The sequence below is a fragment of the Homo sapiens genome, chromosome 15 (assembly GCF_000001405.40).
Source record: "Homo sapiens chromosome 15, GRCh38.p14 Primary Assembly".
NCBI classification, from domain to species: domain Eukaryota; kingdom Metazoa; phylum Chordata; class Mammalia; order Primates; family Hominidae; genus Homo; species Homo sapiens.
Genome location: NC_000015.10, coordinates 57,448,894 through 57,471,171, shown reverse-complemented (window position 1 = coordinate 57,471,171; position 22,278 = coordinate 57,448,894). Strand labels below are relative to the sequence as shown.

General features: G+C 41.8%; 1 protein-coding gene across 22 annotated transcripts in view; it reads right to left on the bottom strand.

Annotated features, from left to right (window-relative positions):
- Window positions 1-22,278, bottom strand: part of CGNL1 (cingulin like 1) — a 174,213-nt gene that overhangs the window by 79,546 nt on the left and 72,389 nt on the right. For all 22 annotated transcript variants that reach the window (XM_047433184.1, XM_047433186.1, XM_011522121.3 and 19 more), the window contains 4 exons: window positions 19,571-19,672; window positions 18,883-19,031; window positions 17,354-17,489; window positions 9,280-9,492 (listed from right to left, as the gene is read on the bottom strand). In XM_047433184.1, coding sequence (XP_047289140.1) covers window positions 9,280-9,492; window positions 17,354-17,489; window positions 18,883-19,031; window positions 19,571-19,672 — 600 coding nt within the window. The remainder of the gene's footprint in view (window positions 1-9,279; window positions 9,493-17,353; window positions 17,490-18,882; window positions 19,032-19,570; window positions 19,673-22,278) is intronic.

Below are 22,278 nucleotides of genomic sequence, written 5' to 3'. Positions count from 1 at the left end.
ATGAGCTCCTACGCTCTGGAAATCTGAACTGTAACTGGAAGCTGATTTACTGAATAAGTGAAATGTATTTTAACTCACCAGCCAAATCAATATTTTTTCTTTGTCTTCCTAGCAATTCTAATTGTTAACTCTTGAGTTTCACTAAAAGAAGTTGGGTACAAAGTCAGCAAGTTCGAGGTACACCAACGTCCCAAAGCTCCTAGAGAGGTTCTTCGAAGAGGAACGTTTCTTTCTTTCTAATTCTTAAGTATTTGGTACATAAAAAGCACTTAGGGTGTCAACTCACAGAACTGACATGCTATTTCTCACCTGAATTTTGCCACCTAAAGCAATAAACCTCTCCTAATCTCCTACTCTGCACATACCTCAACCACAGCAACCATAACTTTGTCATTTTACTTGCACATCTTTCTGCCCACAAGACCACATAAGATCCTCAAAGCTAGAGACCACAGCTTGCTTGCCTTTATATTCTTGGTGACTAGCACCGCGCTGGCACAGAAAACACACTCAGGCATTTGATGGCAAATGAATCCGCATATCTAAAGATAAACCAGCATATCTTTGTCTTCTACAGCCTAACCCACAGCAAGTGACTCTAGGCAGCTCAGGTAAAACACCAGGAGTGACTTGCAGAGATGCTCTGTTTATCCCTCATGGAGGCCCGCTAAGAGATCTGTCCATTACCCAGCCCCCCAGAGTTTTTTCATGACAGCCACTGACTCTCAGGACATGGGAGGCACCTGGGATCACAGCCACAGAATGGGGCACTGGGCCTGTGATGGGTTCAAAAGGAACATCCCAGGACACCACTCTAGACCTCTTATTTATATACTTTTTAATCAATACAAGATGCAGAAGAGTTATACAACTATTAAAAGAGCCATTTCTGGGGCAGGCAAAAAAAAAAAAAAAGAGAGACAAAAAAAAAGAGATCTTTTTTTAGCCTTGAATCTTCCCATTTCACTTTTGCCTATGGAAAGTTCCATGTCACTCTAGGCAGGCTTGAGTCTGTGGAAAAGAGATATTTTCCTTTTCCTGGGCACCTGATTGCAAACCCCACCACTTCTCCAGCTCTCAGTAGCCGTCATTCAGGGTAAGTTGATTATTTGAAGTTAAAATGCAGAGGAAATGAGGAATTTTTGCTGTTTCCCTAGCTAACCTGGCTCCCTTGGAGAAGACAGAAATGAGATTTTACACTGAATTAGCCATGTCTTAAGGGAAGCGATTCCACTGATCCTGAGATTAGCACTGGTTTTACCATTTGACCCTCTGCTGACCTTATGCTTTGGAAGAACCTCTTCAGACATTGGCAGGAAAGAGGGAAGGGACAAAACTAGAAATGACGTGGGAACACGGTACCAAAACATATATTCATTTCTGTAAGACTCAGTGACATTTCCAAATTGCTGGGTAAAATACACACACACAGCCAAAATTGGAGGGTGGTGGTGAAGGGGGAGAAAAGTTTCAACATTATTGAATTTGAATAAAATTCTTATAAGGGTTAGACAATATAAAATATGGGCAGAAAGAATTTACAGTATGAGGAACAGACAAGACAAAAGTACAGAAACTCAGTATGGACATGTCTAATGCAAAAATAGCCTTCTTTTAGAAACTCCCCCAATAGACTGTTAACTAAGTCAAATGAACTGCCCTTCCCCTGGCTTTCCTGTCACTGGATGTGGCTGCTTCTCTTCAGGTCTCTGTGTCTGTGTCTTCTCTTCCTCCTCAGGCCCTCGGCCCCCTTCGCTTCTTTCTCTCTCTGTCACTCGCTCACACTCCGTCCAACGACTCCCAGATGGATAGGGCAGCCCTGCTCCTCACTCATTGTTCACACAGAGGGCTCCCAGGACCTCAAGATGAACTCATTAGCCTTTCCATTCCCAGTACAGCCCCCTTCCAGGCACCCAGAGACGATGCCTGCTCAGGTCAGCTGTCTCTCTTCTTCCTCCTCACCCCAATTCATGCTCCCTGCGGGGTCTCCTCAGTCAGCCCCTACTACCTGCTCATTCCTCCCCACTCTCTACTTCTAACCATTCCAGCTGCAGCCTCAGGTCACACCACCACCAAGTAATGTCCCCACATTAGGTCTCTGTATTAGTCCATTTTCACACTGCTGATAAAGACATACCCAAGACTGGGCAATTTACAAAAGAAAGGGGTTTAATTGGACTTACAGTTCCACGTGGCTAGGGAAGCCTCACAATCATGGTGGAAGGCGAGGAGGAAAAGTCCCGTCTTGGATGGCAGCAGGCAAAGAGAGAATGAGGAAGGCGCAAAAGCGGAAATCCCTGATAAAACCATCAGATTTCGTGGGACTTATTCACTACCATGAGAACAGTATGGGGGAAACCACCCCCATGATTCAGTTATCTCCCACCAGTCCCTCCCACAACATGTGGGAATTATGAGAGTACAATTCAAGACGAGATTTAGGTGGGGACATAGCCAAATCATATCAGTCCCTAATAAAAGAAACATCATTGCTCCCTCACTGACTACCAACTAAAAATAGTCTCCATAATCTCACCCCACCCCACCTTTCCTATTTTAACTCTTTTTGTTTATTCTTTAACACACACACACACACACACACACACACACACGCAAACTTTTTACCAAAGAAAACTTCAATGCTGGGTGCAGTGGGTCACACCTATAACCCCAACATTTTGGGAGGCTGACGTGAGCAGATGGCCTGAGCTCAGGAGTTCAAGACCAGCCTGAGCAACGTGGTAAAACCCTGTCTTTACAAAAACTAGCCAGGTGTGGTGGCGTGCAGCTGTAGTCCTAGTTCCTTGGGAGGCTGAGGTGGGAGGATGGCTTGAACCCAGGAGGCGGAGGTTGAAGTGAGCTGAGATCGTGCCACTGCACTCCAGCCTAGGTGACAGAGCCAGACTCTGTCTCAAAAAAAAAAAAAAAAAAAAAAAAGAAAAAGAAAAGAAAAGAAAAAGAAAGAAAAAAAGGAAGAAAAAACTTCACACATTTGCAACAAGTAGAGAGGATAGGTAATTAACTCTCACCTACCCATTACCCAGCTTTAACACACACCAATGCATGGCTGATCTTGTTTCATCCATACCCCACTGACTTCCCCCAACAAAGTGGATTATTTTGAAGCAAATTTCAGACAGCCTATAAAAACCTCAGTATGTTTCTTTAAAACTCAGAGACTTAGCCGGCCATGGTGGCTCATGCCTGTAATCCCAGTACTTCGCCAGGCCAAGGCGGGTGAATTATCTGAGGTCAGGAGTTCTAGACTAGCCTGGCCAACATGGTGAAACCCCATCTCTACTAAAAACGTAAAAATCAGCGGGGTGTGGTGGCAGGCGCCTGTAATCCCAGCTACTCAGGAGGATGAGGCACAAGAATCATTTGAACCCAGGAGGCAGAGGTTGCAGTGAGTCAAGATCACACCATTGCACTCCAGCCTGGGCAACAAGAGTCAGACTCCATCTCAAAAAAAAAAAAAAAAAAAAGACAGAGACTCTTAAAAACAATAGCACTATTATCACCCCTTAAAAATTGTTTAGTTTCTTAATATCATTAATATAGAGTGTTAAAACGTTCCCAATGATTTTAGCTATTTTTGTTTTTTACAGTCAGTTTGTTTCAGTTGGGATCCGAGCACGGTCCACTCATTGGATCTCTGCACCCGCCCCTTAAGTCTCTGAATCTGTAGCCACCTTAACTTCATTTTCTCCACAAAGCCCAGCCCAGACATCTCACTTTCCCACCTACAAGGTATTGCTCATGCTGTACTCAGTACCCAAAATGTCCTCAGCCCGCATGCCCAAACATCACTCAAAATCCAACTCAAATACTGTCCCCTCCCTAAAATCTTTCGTGATTGCCAGCAGTCCTCCTCCTAAGCACAGCCATGGGGTCTCCTATAGGGATTCCTATATGATTTTATCTCCACTTCACCTGGGTCATTTACTCTTGTCTATAATCAGCTTGAGAGTTACATATCTCCCCTTCAATCTCCTGGAAGGGTAAATTCCACCTGATTTATATGTATAGTCCTCACGAACTTAGCACGATGCCCTGTACTTGGCAGTTGCTCAGTAAATCAGTTTGTAAGGTGCTGTATTTAAAAATAATGCAAACGGAGAAATGAAGGATGGCAAGAGTATCTCACATGTCTTCAACCTCCCTCCTCTTCTCCCTCATCCATTCCCTTGGGAGATATTTGTTGCATAACTGCTGTATGTTGGACACTCTGAAAGTGCCTAATGGCCCAAAAGTCATATTATCTGGCACAAAAATAAAAGTGGCTGTTTTATCAGCATCAAAATACTTGCAACTCTTAGATGCAAAATTACTCCTTCGAAGATTAACATTAACATCATGATACTGCTCCTAACAAACAAGATTTGTTCATTTTCATGAGAAGTAATTTGAATTTATAAATTAAAAGCCAAAACAGTCTAATGGTTGGTCTTCAGATTGTTGAGGACTCTAAAGACATCTCCCTTTTTGTCTATTCATTCATCTAACCCACAAACATTTACTAAACATCTATTAAGTACCAAGCACAATGGTGTTACCAAGTAGAAGATGATGACAGTACCTAGTACGGCAGGGAAGATAAAACCCGGAGCAAAATTGCCAACAATACCAGGTCTCTAGAAACTGTAAGGTCCAAAAGGCAGCGAGGGAAGTTCCTGGAAGAGCTGGAATTTGAGCTGAACCTACTTTCTGAGAAACTTCAAGAAACTATACTGTCTGTACTTCTATTTTGCACAAGAGTTGCAGATAGGAAGGGTTAGGTTTGGAAAAAATAAGCCAACGGCTGTGAACAAGGTTAATTTTACTCCCAGATGGCAGTCATTCACATCCCTATTGAGCGCCCATTTCCTCTAAAGGGTTCCAGCCATGGCCACGAACCCAAGGAAGAAGAAGACATTTCCTTTTTAAAACTAAAAAAAGTGTAAAATGACCAGAAACAGAGAAAAAAGCATGTTATGAAATAAGTTGCTTAAGGGCTTAGTCCTTTAAAAGAATGTTTGGTAGATATACTCTCCTAACAGACTACGAAGATCCATTTCTCTATAAGAAGAGAACTTAAATAGTGCACATTATAACCCAAACCTCCACCGCTCTGCCAGTGAGATGCAATTCATTCTGCTGGGTGAGGAAACCCCACATAACATAGGCATTCATGAATTCCATCCACTGAGCAATCAAACTGTTCTTTAAAAGATATGGCTGATGGGTTTACAAAATACACTATTACAGAGTTATCTGTTTGGAATACCTGTACAACATTCGAAATATAATTTGACATTTTTCACCAAATGTTCTAGTAACGTAAAACCTTTAGTGCTCAAGCTAGGATAAAGTGCTGGTTATTTTACAACGATAAAATAGCACTTTAGGGGGTTTTGACACTGGGGCAGTGGTAAGAATAAGAAAAACTGATGACAGAAGGTTGGGCTGCTTCATAAGACCTATTGAAGTAATAAACTTTTTAATGCAATAAAATTTCTTAAAGAAATGTCCTTTTTTTTTGGGGAGGTTGAAGCTGACGGATCCCCTGAGGTCAGGGGTTTGAGACCAGCTTGGCCAACATGGTGAAACCCGGTCTCTACTAAAAATACAAAAATTAGTCAGGTGTGGTGGCGCATGCCTGTAATCCCAGCTACTCAGGAAGCTGGGGCAGGAGAATCACTTGAACCCAGGAGGTGGAGGTTGCAATGAGACGAGATCATTTTACTTCACTCCAGCCTGGGCAACAGAGTGAGACTCCATCTTAAAAAAAAAAAAAAAAAAAAAAAAAGTCAGTTTTTAGCCATAGTGGTTGGTGGGTGGGTTCTCCCCCTGGGGCAGGAAAAATCTAAGTGTAAGAGCACATATTTAAGAAACATTATTTACCAGATTTAAAAATTATATTTAATTCACTCTCCTCCAAATATTTAATAATCTTAATGTTCTATTCTATAATACCAAGACATAAATAATATAACCAAAAACAGCATCCATCTACTAAATTGACACATTTGTCCCCCATAAAATATGACTCTATCACATTTGTTAAGCAGCCACCTTCAGAAGCAAAAGCTAATATGGTGAAAAAACACAATCAGGATCCTCTTTAAGAAACTGCAAGGAAGCCGCGCACAGTGGCTCACATCTGTAATCCCAGCACTTTGGGAGGCCGAGGTGGGCAGATCACTTGAGGCCAGGTGTTCGAGACCAGCCTGGTCAACACGACGAAAGCCCATCTCTACTAAAAATACAAAAAAACTAGCCAGGCGTGGTGGCACATGCCTGTAATCCCAGCTACTTGGGAGGCTGAGGCAGGAGAACTGCTTGAACCTGGGAGGTGTAGGCTGCAGTGAGCCAAGACTGTGCCATTGTACTCCAACCAGGGTGACAGAGCAAGACTCCATCTCAAAAAAAAAAAAGAAGGAAAGAGAAAGAAAGAAAGAAGGAAAGGAAAGGAAAGGAAAGGAAAGGAAAGGAAAGGAAAGGAAAGGAAAGGAAAGGAAAAGAAACCGCAGAGAAATTCAAAAGCAAGGCACAGAAATTCAAAGAATAATACTAGAGTTCCCAAAAAGACCTCCCACATCACCACTGAAAAAATTCAACAGGAACTACATGGCAGGGACTGAAAACCCAGTCAGAAAGGAAATTTGTCCTAAACTAACTTTCACTTGCCAGACACCGCACGGATGTGACTATGTCCCAGGCACCATGCTGAGCTCAAGAGGCTAAGAGCACAGGCTCTTGACTTGCATATGGGGTGTATTGGTCTATGTTATTTTATTTATTTCTTTATTTATTTTGTAATTTGAAGATATGCTTAAAAGTTGGGAGATCTCACAGAAACATCCAGATATCTGGCTTCTTGAAAAAAATGAAAGATCTAGCAACATGGGCCCAGCATTCTCTCACTGGCAACTCTAAGCTGGAGCAGAGAAGCCACTGACCGCTCCAGCAAAGGACATGCCCTCCAGCCAGCTTGTCACAGTCCCCACCATACCCTCCTATCATCCCAATAACAGACTCAGTGCTTTACTCATTTATGCTCCCTGTCTGGCCCCAGAGGTACTAGAGTTTGTCACTCCCTCTCAGGAAAAAAAAAAAGGACAAAAGTGCCCCCTATGCCTAAGAAGTGCAGAGTCTAATGGAGGAAGCAGACAAGATGAGAAATTATAATAGGGTATGATACAAACTACAGTAGAAGAATGGCCAGGGTTCCGCAGAAACCCTAAGGAAGGTGAAGGAAGGTGCAACTAACTCCACCAAAGGGAGTATAGGTATCTAGGGCATGTTCATAAAAGAGAGGACATTTGGGGGAATTCTTGCAGGAGGACAACAGCCTGTTCAGATGGCAAAGCAGGAGCAAGTCACTCTACACGTATGAAGAGGTGAGAGGTCTGAAAGACACAGAGTTTTCTGGAGATGGGTTAGGCAGAGAAGGGACTTCTTCCCTACCATGCTAACAATTTTCAGCTTAAATCTGGGGCAATGGGGAGTCAAGCAAGTTACTTAAGCAAAGGCTGACACGATCAGATTTGGTTTTGTAAGGAAAGTTGCTGGCAGCAGTATAGAAAACAACCTGGAACAAACAGCCCTTGCTGGCCCACACCCCAGTGGGTACTAAGGCGAACCCCTTTGTGTTAGCTTCCCGGTGCCTGGAAACTGTCCATTCTCTGCCAGTGATACACGTCTTGACTACTTCGCCTGTTTCGTTTTTACAGACTGATATGGGTCAATGTAGTTGTCGCTCTTGAAATGGCATAATGAAAATACTATGAGTTAATATATAATGCAGACATTTGAACAGGACAAAATGCAGTAACATAAGTCTCTACTGATGATCTCAATTCCATACAACAAAGATATCCTTTCACCTACCATGTATCCTTTCCTCACTTACATATCTCTGACAGTAGAGAACCTGGAAGCTTCCAATAAATAGCCCCCACCCCATGTGAGGCACAAGTTTGATTTTCCTTATACTTAAATCACTACAAACATATCCCCCAACACTATTCTCAACTGCCCTTAAAGGAGCCACCCAGAATACACCACATTAAGTCAAGTTTTGAGGCAAGATTTAAGGGTGATAAAGATATGGGTCCAAAGGAGAAAAATTTTAACTCAGTAGCCTATTGGCATGTACCTGATGAAGCAATAGCACATAAAGATAGATCACAAGGATACCAGGCTGGTGCACAGAAATGAAATGAGATGCAAATAACAGGCATGTCCCCTCAAAGCAATAAAAATTAAATCGGTTTCGCTTTTCTCCCTCAAATTCAGTCAAATCTAAAAAAAAATAAGACAGGGAAATCAACAAGAGGCTTTTAAAAACGGTCTCCAAGTTGTAATAACCCCAAACAGTCTATTTCCCAGACTTTTTATTGTTATAACAAACAAACCCATCTTTCATTTCTTGTCATTTGCAATTACTGTGCCATAATTGAAAATCAGTGAATCACCATAGGGCTTAGGGGAGAGAGGGCCTACTAACTCTGAGCTGTCACTGTAATCATCACAGAATAAACAATATCAAGAATTCTTTCTTCATCATTTTTAACCTATATATTGCAGAGTCTCTGAAAATTTTATAATCTGTAATTCCCCTCTTTCCCTAAAGATGGCATGACATTTCAAACCATTTTCCCCTTCAAAATACTGTTTTTCTCTTCTTCAACAGCCAGTATGACGTCTGCCCCAAAAGACTTCAGCATAATTTTGAATCTATTTGTAGGAGCCAAGAATTCAATTAAGAGAAAAATTATCTTGGAAGGGTTTCGGCAATTCAGCCAATTAACCCTCTTGTAACTGTGCTGAGAAAAGAACCTGAATTGTCCAACAAAAGGCTACACAAAATCAAAAGGAACAGACTAGGGTGGGGGATGAAGGATTCCAGGAATCTGGGTCCCGTCTGCACTTCTGCCCATTAACTTGGTCACACAATGCCCTCGGCCTCTGACCGTTAGGAACGCCTGGGAGAGTACATCCCTCCACTCTGCAAGGGGCTGCAGAACCTCAAGTGTTCATATGCAGCTTCTTCATCTCCCCCTCTGCAACAGGATTTAACCAATGTCCCTACCAACGTTTCAGTTTATAGACTTTAAAAGGTCAATAGCAGGACCATTGAGCTTATTCTTTGTTAATAAGCTCTGTGTCCATGATCTGATGAATTGAGATTCACTCTCTAATTAAAAGGAATGAAGGGGATTTGCAGTGGTGTGGGAGAGAGGGTCTTACCCTTTCATCTGTTCACAAGCCAGATTCTCCTGCCCCATCCCTCACCTTGGTTGCTTCTTCCACACTCTCCCTCAGGGCCTGCAACTCAGCATCATATTGCTCCTTCAGCTTGTCCATCTCCTGATCATGGCTGGAAACCTCTTCTTTCAGGGCTCCCTTCAGGGCGGTGAGTTCACGCTCTCGCTTTCTCAAGAGGTCTTCTTGCTCCTCTTTGGCAATCAGCAGATCTTGAAGATCCTGTTTTGCCTGTAAGAGCTCCTAGAGAGAGGAAACACGAAGGGAGAAGGTGACAATGAAACATCTTGTTGAGAGGCCCTGTATCTCCCCTCCAGTTCAGTCCCCATGTGCACAGCCATCTCACCTGGCCTTGCCACTCTCTCCTTCCACATCCCGCACACCTGTTTAGACCATTTCTTCCTCTCCCCCTGCATTTCTCAGAGGCCATCATTCCCTTGGATTCCTCTGCCTCTGCTTCTTGGAGATTTGATTGAATTTGAGGGAGAAAGGGGAAACTAATGTAAATTTCACTGCTTTGGGGAACACGTCTGTATCTTCCATCTCATTTCACTTCTGTGCAGTGATCTGTTGCCCTTGCTCTTGCCCTGTGTGTGCTGTTGCTTCACGGGGGCACGCCAGCTTGCCTACCTTGCTTCATATCCCCTGGGACCCTGAGTGTGGTCAAACCCTTCATCCACATTCCTCGTACTCAGGACAACTTTGCCTGTTTTTCTTCTATCTCATTTGCCCATCTGAGCAGAGCACAATATTCATATTTTCCCCTTCTTAACTGCCAGGTATTAATGAGGAAGGTCACAAAGCTGGGGCAACAGGCTCCACTATAAATCACATTACCTGAGCCCAGTGTGTCCTGCCAAAGGCTCGGCATTCCTTTCCCTCCAGCATTTTTGTCCCAGACCTTCTCAGTTTTCCAGCTCAGGACTCGCCCTCACAGACACCTTTGCTCTTCCCTCAGCCAGAGAGATGTGGGCATCTTGGCTCCCTCTCCACCTCAACCCCTCTCTGCACTCCAGGCCTTCTTCCACCCAGAGTCCCTCCACAGAGAACGCACTGTCCCCTGCCAGCCTGCTCCCAGTCTTCACTCCATCAGTTATTGACATGGTTTGGCTCTATGTCCTCACCCAAATCTCATCTTGAGTTATAATTCCCATAATTCCCACTTGTCAAGGGGGGGACACTGTGGGAGATGATTGGATCACGTGGATAGTTTTCCCCATGTTGCTCTTGTGATAGTGAGTTCTCATGAGATATGATGGTTTTATAAGGGGCTTTCCCCACTTTGCTCACTCTCTCTCCTGTTGCCTTGTGAAGAAGGTGCCTGCTTCCCCTTCTGCCATGAAGTTTCCTGAGGCCTCCCCAGCCATGCGGAACTGTGAGTCAATTAAACCTCCTTTGTTTATAAATTACCCAGTCTCAGGTAGTATCTTTACATCAGTGTGAGAATGGACTAATACAGTTGTCTTTTCTTTCTGCCATTTTGTTCCTACCCATACTCTTGAATCTTGGCTACCTGCCAAACTTCACCACCAAAATGTCTGAAAGCATAATTTCTGTTCACTGCCTCTACTTCACAACTGCCCATTCACTCCTTAATCTCTTGCTATATGATTTTTGTCCCTGCTCTACCAAGACAGTCCCCTGCAAGGTCATTGTGACCTTTACTCATATCCGATGGCCTTTTCCCAGTTGTCAATTTTCTTTACCCCTCTTTCATCCTCCCTTCCTGTCTCTCTAAGATGCCCTTCTTTCTTGTAGTGCCAAGATAACACAGACTCCTGTTTTCTTCCCTCAGGCTGTTTCTTCTTTGATAATCTTTTCTGGCTTTTCACTCCCTCTTCCCAAAATCTATGATGATCTCCAAGATTGCAACTTTGCATTCTTTATTCTCTTTTAGCAAGCTCATTTTTGTTTTTCCAACTATTAATTCTATGTAAATGACTCCTAAACCTTTACCTCTTACCCTTCTCTGAGTTCAAACCTGCACTAACACATTCAAAGACCTGCTAGATGAACCCATCTGGATGTCCTGTGGCACCTCAGATTCAGTAAGATTACAATTTCAAGAGAATTCATCATGCTCCTTCCTTCCTTCTTCCTTTGTTCTTTGCTCTTGTGAAAAGCACCACCTGCCCCCTCAGCACTCAAGCTCAGAAACTTGGCAGGACTTTGACTTTCTCTCGTCCTAGTCTCTCATAACCAAAAAGTTAGTTCTGCAACATCTTCAATCCTTTCTGTCACCTCCCTGGGTAAAGCCCTCCTCACCTCCTGTGCAGGTGGTTTACGATAACCACTCAGCTGCTCCCCGCATCCAGGCTCTCACCTACAGCCTCTATGGCAATCCACGCAGCATCTTCAGTCCGGAGTGCCCTTCTCCCTTCTCAGGCCCATCTCTCCCTGCCTTTCAGAAAATCTTTGAAGACCCAGATACGGTAAGACCTCCTCCAAGAGGTCTTCCTTGAATATCCCTCTTGAATACCCATCTCACTCTAGCTGTTCTTCTCACAGTACTTAACACTTTTTATTTTACATTCTATATATTTTAATCATTTTTCTCATCTGCATTTGACTCGCCTACTTATCCTTGTTGAAAGAAGGATACAGATCTGATTTATTATATTTTTGATGCATAGATTAATATTGGGAGCACTTATCTGTTCAGATATAAATAAACAAGTGCAGTACAGCAGGTGTCTGGAGATGTCAGAATTCTGAACTCATCAGTTATTTCACTTGTGGCTTCTGCATAAGAACACGACCTGTTTTCTTGGAACCCCTGGGTAATCAGAGGCATGGTTGCCACCGGGGGACCCAAGGCTTCAGAGATGATAAGCTACTTTCCATTCCAGAATTGTGTCTCTGATGAGGGAAGAAACATTTTATTGATTTAAGTATAACCGACAACGAGATCTCTTTCATTTTCTCTAGGACATGCACCTCCATTGAACCAGGGGAACCGCTACAATCCCAGGGTGGGGCTGCATTGCACAGACTAAGATTTTGCCCATCAAGAATCTAACTAGCAGGCATTGACAAGCTCAGAAGAAATGTCAAGAGACCCATGCAGGTAACGAGGCCGGCTCTGGCTCTTTCAAAGCACCAAACACAGAGATCTTATGAAATTATACCCTGTCCTCGTATTTATCAAAGAGGACGCCCTGCTGCCGCTGCCCAGCCCCTTCTTAAGGAAGATCAGAGTCTCTCCTGAATTACTGTTGCTTCCGGCTACCCCCCAGGGCTTCCTGGAACCTCCTGCCAGCATCTTTAGTGCAGGCCCTGTGATTCTGACCCCTGTTTCCTGCTTTTACTCTCACACGTTTCTCAATTGTTTGGATGATAAGACAGTTCCTCTCCCCACACTTATGTTTTCCAGCATATCTCTATGTTTTGTGTTGCCTTTTGTGTGCTGCCGCCAATGCATGTCAAGACTGAGGTTTTTATGGTCCATTCTGCAACGACATGCTGTTATCTGTTGCTTAAGTGGACTGTGCAGCACAAATCCAATCAGATTACACCTCGCCATATCACTTAGTAGCACTTGAAGTTTTCCAGAGTAGAGACTAAAAGGTACACGATGTTTCATAAACTTCACTCCATCACCTCGGGGCTTAATTATTTCAATCAAAGAAGGGAGAGAAAAATACATAAACTTCAAAATGTAAGTATACATCCATTAGAGGTCAACTTGCCTCTCTATGGAATCCAGTTAAAGAAAACAAGAGAAAACTGGCTGTCTGGGAGTGGCGAGAGCTAGAAAAGTTGACTGTGTCTGGTCCTTATACATCATAAGAACTGTGCTGAGCATTTCTAACAATCCAGAGAGATGGATACTCAAGGAGATGAAGATTACTATTCTTCATAAACGAACGAAGCTCTGAGATTCTAACATGCCTAAGACCACACAGCCTTATAAGCAGTAGAGTCAAGAATGGGACCCAGATGGGTCCTAATGCCCTTTCCCTTCACTATGGTCAGTACAGACCTGACCACAAAACCACATACTCAAGAAGGCTGAGAAGCAAGCAGTCACACTGGAGTTCATCCACTAGATGCTATTATGGTTTGGCTGCGTCCCCACCCAAATCTCATCTTGAATTGTATGTAGCTCCCATAATTCCCTCATGTTGAGGGAGGAGCCCAGTGGGAGATAATGGAACCATGGGGGTGGCTTCCCCCATACTGTTCTTGTGGTAGTGAGTAAGTCTCAGGAGATCTGATGATTTTATAAGCGGAAACCCCTGTCACTTGGCTCTCACGCCTCTTGTTTGCCACCATGTGAGAGGTGCCTTTCACCCTCTGCCACGATTATGAGGCCTCCCTGGCCACATGGAACTGTGAGTACATTAAATCCCTTTCTTGTGTAAGTTGCCCAGTCTCAGGTATGTCTTTATCAGCAGCATGAAAACAGCCTAGTACAGATGCCAACAAAACAGAGCACTGTGTTTGGCTGGAAGGCCCTTTAAGGAGGTCCACCTTCTTAAACTAAAGCAAAGAAAAGCAACCAGAGCCTGAAGAGACAGGTAGAAGGAGATCTGAGAGAAAAAGGAACACACTATGAGACCAGCTGTTCTGCAGCAGCAGCAAGTGGCCACCCCACGACCATGCGCACTGAGAAACAGGCACCAGGATGTCGAGAACGGCAATGTATTTGCTCACAAAAAGCTCTACTTCACACACCACCTGTGCATGAGCGTGCCACATCAAAATGAGGAAGACACCAGTCTAGACCCTCTTTTGCATAAGTGCTTCCCAGAAGTTCCACAGGGTCCCTATCTCTGGCCCATGCTCACTGAAAGCATAAATAAAAGGTTTTATAGCAACGGTAGCTGACAAAGAATTCTGTCATTTTTTTGTTCCAGGATGGCCAAGGAAGCATCACACGGCTGGTGAGAATCATGGTATTTTTGGCTGCCTTTTTTATAAAAATTTGTAGAATGTTCAATAATATCATTACAAAAGAAGTTTTAGAGACATAATTTCTGAACACAATCTCTCCTCAAACCACTACAATTTTATAACCAGACTATTTTAATGAGACTGAAGTACCTGTATCTTGGCAAATGCCAGGGATAAAACACCACAAGACTCTGCTGGAGTGAGGCCCATCTCTCAGCACCGCAGGCTCCCATCAAAGCAGACATTTGATAATTAGAAAACCCCACCATCGTGGCACTTAGCGAGCTGTCTCACGTTGACCTGTCACCCTTGGAATGGAAGGTAATGCATTCCTGACAGAGAAGTGGTGGAAACCTGTTCTATAATCATTTTTGTAACTTGAGCTGAAAAAAAAAAAATTTCAGAATCATCTATTTAACTAAGAATAACAAAGTCAACCCTTTGTTGGTCAATTTTATGGTTTACTCTAAGAAAGTGTTTTCTACTATTTCTCCCTTCTTTTTTTTTTTAAACTGTTTTATTTATTTTTTTTTTTAAGTGAAAGCCAGTTTATTAGAGAAGAAACAAAAGAATGGCTGCTCCATAGACAGAGCAGCCTATTCCTTCTTAATGTTACTTTACTGACTGCATACAGGGGTCTGATGTTATTTAACAAAAAGTGACATATTAAAAGATATTTCATGCAAAATCTGGTCCATTATGCAGGACTTGCAAAACTTGGGCCTTCAACCTTTTTCAAACATTCAAAAGCATAAGTGTTTAATGCTCATTGTGTTAAGAGTTTGTTCCAAGCTAACTGCCATGGGAAACTTGGCCACAACTATACTCTGTTATCAAATTCCCCCAGGCCACTTTTTATTAAGATATGAAGAATAAATTGAAAGTGACAAGGAGACAGGGTCTATTTTACTAGTGACGTAGAAACCGTAGATCATAGTTTAAGTGTTGCTGACAAGTCAAAGGAAACTGATAAAAACAGAGGGTGATTTTCTGGAGCAAGAGAAACCCACTTTGGCCTAGGGAGACTAATTACACTCTAACTCATCTTGCAGAAAGGCAGCAGTAAATGATACAGTTCCTGTTGTGGGAAAGAGACAAACTACCTGTAAGCCAGCAACATCACGAACAGGTTTAAGAAAATATGTGCTATTGCCCACTCCTGTATCTCGCATTATCAGCCTCTGCCTGAACACATCACCAAAACAGTCTCATATCGTTATCCCATCATCAGTATAAATAAATCAATAAACTAATGATGTTCAGTTAATAGATATGCAGTATGGCATGTTTAAAGAGGAAAAGAAGTATGCAGTTCATTTCAGAATTATTCCCTTTTTTAAAAAATGGTGACATTTTAAAAGTAATTTAAATACGAAAAATTATTTATTCATTTGCTCTGTTGCTTGGCACTGTGCTAGATGTGAAATGCGGAAAGAAGCAAAAGTGATTGCTCTTGAATTAGCTGGCTAGCAGAAGAAAGATACAAAATATGTGCAACGTCAAGTGAGTTAAAATAGAGAAACTAAAAGGACAGGGGATATCAGGGGGCAACTCACAGTGACAGCTGTCAGTTACTGCGGAAAATCAGCAACTTCAGAGACTTCCCAAGAGCTAAGATAACATCTTTCCCTTTTAGAACCAATAAAATGTTCACACAAGGAATCAAGAATATGACAATGTTTTATCTTCTATTTAAATTTGTTCATGAAGCTACACTTTTATTGAAAGCCATAAATTGTTCATTGACATCATTTCTGGAAACTTATTCTTAGAAACAATTTTTAAAGTAGTAAAAGTATAAATGTAAAAAATGTTCCCCACAATCTTTGTTTCAAAATTACAAAAAAGGGAAAAAAAATGTAGGAGAATGGTTAAATATATTGTGGTTTATCTTCTTAAAAATTAAATACAAAGAGCATAAAGTATAATAAGAAAGAACATTTTTGATATCTTAACTTTTAAAAGCAGGTATCAAAACTGTAGGGACATTATGATTGTCCTTATATTATATATACATGGGTAGATGAAAGCTATCAATAGATAGGGAGGCAAACAGAGATTATAGAAATAAAAATGGCTGCTCAGGTATTAGGAAAGTATGTGTACGTCCCCCCCTCCCCCTTTTTTCAATTTTCGTTTTATGTTGTTTTAATATTATTTCAGTGATAAATACATATATCTTCTTGTCTTTGTAACTCTGAGCCCTGAGAGAAAACAGCACCATGAGAAGCAGTATTATACCAAGAATGTGGTGGTTTTTAAGGAATCATTTGATAAAAAGAGGAATCCCAGTTGGTAAGGAACAATGCTGAGGGCTTCTCAGGAGAAAAGGTCTGAATAGGGAAAGAGAGATGGTCATATATGGAGAAGAGGCAATCACCCTCCTCTGCCAATGTGAAAAATGGATTCATGAGAACTCCTGGGCTGGGTGACCAGAGTCACTCATCTCTGAGCTCCTGCCAGGTCATCGGGTGAAGAAAGGCTAAGTTCTAAAAAGTAGGACCTAAAATCTCTCCTGAGGAATTATTTCAAAACTGGAGGAGGAAAGGAGTGACAGAACAGTAGACAACTGAGACTTAAAGAGTGTTCCAGGGACTTCAGAGCCAGAAGCTTCTAGCCCCAAGTAAGGGAGAGAGAAAACACCTAAGCCCAAAGAGGGAGGAAGTAGAAAATTAAATATTAACACAGTACCTTTATGTTTTGACTTTTAATTTTTTTGGCTTTGTTCTAAATTGTTTATCATCTCTTTGTTGGGCTATTCCTACAAACCACACTTATAAAGAAGTAGGTTCCAAAACTATGCTAGAATACAGGTGATGATAATGTTACAGCAAACATCAAACACCTAAATGGGTGCAGAGATAAAAGTCCTGTCTTTTTCTGACCCTCAATTATACTTATTCCCTCTCCCAAAAATGTACATATTGAAAACCAACATTCTTGCTAATAATTTCATACATGTGAATCTAATACCTCAACAAGATAATAATCTAGAGAAGAGAGAATACATAATAAAAACCCATAATAATTAGCAAATGCCAAGCTGAGAGGAGAGAATCAAGCGCATCCACTGACTCACAGATCATAAGAGCACAGGTGGAGCAGGTGTGCACATCAGAAAGTGGCTTGCAGTCCACAAACCCTAGCCACTCCATCTTTCCAGGCAGGTGGGGCCTGTCTTATCACCTGACCCCACAGCCCTGCTTACCTCAATCAGAGCTCCCTTCTCCCTGTCCTCCGATCGCTTTGCACTGTCCAGTTCATCGTGCATTTCTGAGAGCTGGTCCTGGAGATCCCTGATCTCAGTCTGATGCTGCTCCCGTTCCATCTTCACCTGGAATAGCCTGGCAGGGAAGGAAGCCCATTAGACAGGCTCTTCTGGGCTCTGCTTATTTCCATCCAGTCTGATTTCTGATCTTCAGAGGGTTACACAAGTCTCTAAAGCCCCAAGGAGCCTCCCCATTCTCTGTTCTGCACTGAGCAAGGGATCACCAACCTGAAAAGGTGGCTGAGAAGAACTTAGGCTATGGTCTAATTGCTTACAAGAGGATAAATGAGAACTCAAACCAACAAAGTGGGTATGGTTATACGGAGACATTTTCTCCCCAAAAGGAGATGGTAGGGTACTAGAATTTGGATGCAGAAGATAAAGAAATGAAACAGAAAAATTTCCCACTAAAGCCACCCCATCCTTCCACTGTCTACTATCCCAGTGTTCTAGACCAGGAGAGTTGGCAAATTATGGTCTGTGGGCCAGTTCAGCCCACTGCCTGTTAGTGTAAAGTTTTACTGGAACATGGTCATGCTCATTCATTTATGAGCAGCCATTTCATTTCACGACACAATGGCAGAGCTGAGTATGTGCAACAGACTATATGACCCACAAACCCTAAAATAATCACCACCTGATGAAAAAAAAGTTTACAAAACTCTGTCCTGAACCAAACTCACAACTACTATACCTTTTTATTTTGTAAAACTTTTACTATACCCTATATTTTCTGATTTTTTTCTTACTAAACTCTTTTCTGCAATTAGCATCTATGATTGTTTTAAACGCAAAACACCACCATCAAAACTGCAAGGACAATCAAATGCTTTTATTATATAATGTCCTCTTTTTCTTGAACTTCCCCCTAGATTTCATTCCCACTTGACTTTCCACTTAAGGCTTCTGTCGTGTCCACAGAACGTCATAGCACTGTTTATTCTTAGACCTTGGTTTTCGATTCCTTTGCCACAGCTTTTAATACAACACAATGGCAGGGGCATCTTGGACCTAACTTTCCTTCTCTGTAGACTCAGAGGAGGTATAAGCACCCATCACAAACACCAGCACCATCGAGGATAAAATGCACAGGCTGAGAGCTCACGGGGGCCACGTAACACATGCTTTTTAGAAGCTGGGCCCAGGCTCCTTGAACTCTGTCTTTCAGTATCAGCGCTCAGTGCTCCCTGCTTCCCACTTACCTGCTAGGAGGTCCACTTTAAGGACTGAAACTTTGTAACGTATACTTCAAGGTGCACAAAGAATGTTAAGAATTACTAACCTTTTTGTTTATCAGTCTACATGTGTCGCCAGCTTCATAATTTTACAAAGATAAGAGGAAGAAAAGGAAAAGCCAGCTGCCTTTATAAATATTTGGAAGGCTGGGTAGTATTAAATGGACAGAAAGTTTCTAGCTACATGTCATAGAGAACCTGGGAAGGGCAACAGGCTCTCAGCCCAGAACTTACTCCTCCAGATTCTTCCGGAGCTCCCCTTCACTTTCTTCCAGTCGTTGCTGCAATGTGGAGTTCTCCTCCACCTTTTCGTTGTGTTGGCTTCGGAGCTCTTCTAGGTTTGCTCTCATCCTCTCTCTCTCTTCTTTAATGTTCTGTTGATTCTAACAGGAATCAGTGTGATTTTAAAGAGCCTCCACTGTACATTAACGTAACCCCACAGAAGCCTACTTCTCAACAAGCAGACTCCATATCTTTGCACTTACATTATTAAACAACTTAATCAAACTATATAATTAAGGCACAGGAGTTCTTAACTAGAAAGAACATCAAACATTTATATTTAATGAACTGTAATACTTGTAAAAGAAAACACAAACACAGCCAAACCTCATTCTGCTATTTCTATGATTTAGTTCAGATGTTTTATATACATTTAGTTTCCCATTGGCCTGCCTAAATCCAACAGGGTTTCTTTTACTCTGTCTAAGCAAACAGTCTCTATAGGCTTTGGTTACATTAAAAAAAAAAATTCTTTGGACAGCAGCAGCCAAATACACAGGAATTTATTCAGTGATTAGAGGAATGTTTCTTTTGGGGGAAAAAAAATTGGCTTTCACTCTGGTTATCCCAATGCATGTAAAATATTCTTTATCAACCAAGACAGAAATGGAAAAAATAACATAAAGGAAAAACCAGATACCTTGACTTCCAGTTGAAGCTGTCTCTGAAGTTCAGCCACTTCTATGGTCAACTTGCTTTTCTGTTCCAATAGATCTTTGACTTCAGATGTGGAATTACAAGCCTATAATTAATTGCAAAGATATACTAATTTAAATGTTCAGGGTGCTTTATTTTAATTATCTTCCCCCTCCAAATATAATCAGTGCAGTAACAGATGAGGCATAACACTAAACATTTTAAGACCCAATTCAAACATCAACCCCTTCAGGGAACCTTCCCTGACTTGGTGGGCAGAGTTAATGTTACTGCCTGCCTTGGGACTCCAGTGAACTTTATTCTACAGCATTTACCAATCACAGGTATTGTTTCATCAGGTATATCAACACTAGTCCAATATGACTAAAACTTGCATACATGGCATATTTGTTAGAAGTCCGTAATGTATTCTGTAGAATATTATAAAATAGCAATGCATTAAATTTAGGATAATAAAACTTAAAAAGCCTCTCCATAATAAATTCTATATTCCAGAGCATGGAAATCAATGGTTAGCAAAAAATCAGCAACAAAATCTTTTTGTAAGTAAAGACAGTCATTTTTTCTATTTTAATGGCAGAATACAGTTTAGCTTTAGTGTTTCTTAAGAGTGGTTTGAGAATTACTACATCAGGAGATTATGAACTTTTATGGGGCAGGGACCAGGTTTTATGCACCTCTGTATCTACAGAACCCAATGTATCTCATAAATTTAATCAAATCTCAGTAAATGATTGTTAGAATTCTGGTTTTGCCATGATAGAGTAGCAAATATCAGATTTACCCTCCCAGCAAAAACTATGAAAGCTAGACAAAAATATATAAAACAATTGTTGACAGGCACTGAAAAGCAAGCAACACAGAGTTATGATCCTTACAAAGGAAAAGACAGGAGGTAGCCCCACATTCACCCTGGGTTCTCCATGACTCCATTTCCAAACCACAGCACAATAAAATTTTATAAGCACAGACAATGTCATTAGGAAATTGCAAATTAAAACAACAATGAGGCTGGGTGGGGCGGCTCATGCAGTAATCCCAGTACTTTGGGAGGCCGAGGCAGAACGATCACCTGAGGTCAGGAGTCTGAGACCAGCCTGGCCAACGTGGTGAAACCCCATCTCTGCTAAAAATACAAAAATTAGCCGGGCGTAGTGGCACACGTCTGTAGTCCCAGCTACTCAGGAGGCTGAGGCAGAAGAATCGCTTGAACCCACGAAGTGGAGGTTGCAGTGAGCCAAGATCATGCTACTGCACTCCAGACTGGGTGACAGGGCAAGACTCCATCTCAAAAAACAAACAGACAAACCAACGAGATACCAATATATACGAATTAGGATGGCCAAAATTCAAAACACTGGCAACACCAAATGGTGGCAAGGATGTGGAGTAACAGAAACTCATTCTTTGCTTGTGGGAATGCAACATGATACAGATAATTTAGAAAATGGTATGGTTGTTTCCTACAAAACTAAACATGCTCTTACCATACAACCCAGAAGCTGCCCTCTGGGTGTTTACCCAAATTAGTTGAAGTCTCATGTCCACACAAAAACCTGTACGTGAACGTTTAAAGCAGCCTTATTCATAACTAACAAAACTTGGAAGCAATCAAGATGCCCTTAAAAGGTGAATGTATAAATTGTGGTATATCAGACAATGGAATATTAATACTCAATACTAAAATGAAATGAACTACCAATCCATCAAAACGCATGGGAAAAAATGCACACTACTAAGGGAAATGAGCCAAACTGAAAAGGTGATATACTGTGTGATTCCAACTACAGAACACTCCAGAAAAAATAAAACCTTGGAAACCATAAAAAGATTACGGGTTGCCAGAGGTTAGGGGAGAGAAAGGAACAAACAGGCAGAACACACAGGATTTTTAGGGCAGTGAAACTATTCTTTATGATACTAAATGATAGATACATGTCATTGTTCATTTGTCAGAAGCCTGTAGAATGTGCAACACCAAGAGTGAACACTAACGTAAACTATGGACGTCTTTGAGTGATAATGATGTGCCAGTGTAGGTCCCCTGATTGTGAGAGGTGCGCTCCATGCTATAGGATGCTAACAGTGGTGGAGGGCGTATGTGGGGACAGGACAGTAAACGGGAACTGTCTGCACTTTCCACTCAATTTCACTGAGAACCTAAAACTATTCTGAAAAATAAGGTTTGTTAATTTAAGTGAGAAAAGTGTCCAGAGTGGCAACTCACTGATGAAAGAAATAGAGATTAGAGTTTAGAGATAGTAAGCAACAGGGATTTCAAGGTCAGGGTATGAGAGAGGAGAGAGGTCCACAGAAGAAGTTCCAAGAACCTACAATAAATACTCCCTGGATTCTTGGATGATATCCTAAGCTGTATATGAGCAGAGCAAGAGTTCAAGAGGACTGCAGAGAAGACCTATTAGGAGGCAAAGAACCCAACAGAAACTTCACAGGTTGCCCAATGCTAGGGAGACACTAGGGTTCCAACTCAACCAAAATAGAGAAACCTTGGTGGACATTCTGGCATTCATTTGAAATCCAAGAAAGGAACATGGGTCATGTCTTAAGAGTAAGGGCAAAAACTTAAATAGACACTCCCTAATAATGCCTAGAACAACCAACCATATAGAATCAAGGTAATCTGTAAGTAATTTAACTGTCTGTCAAAACAAAACTTAACATTCTTCAGGG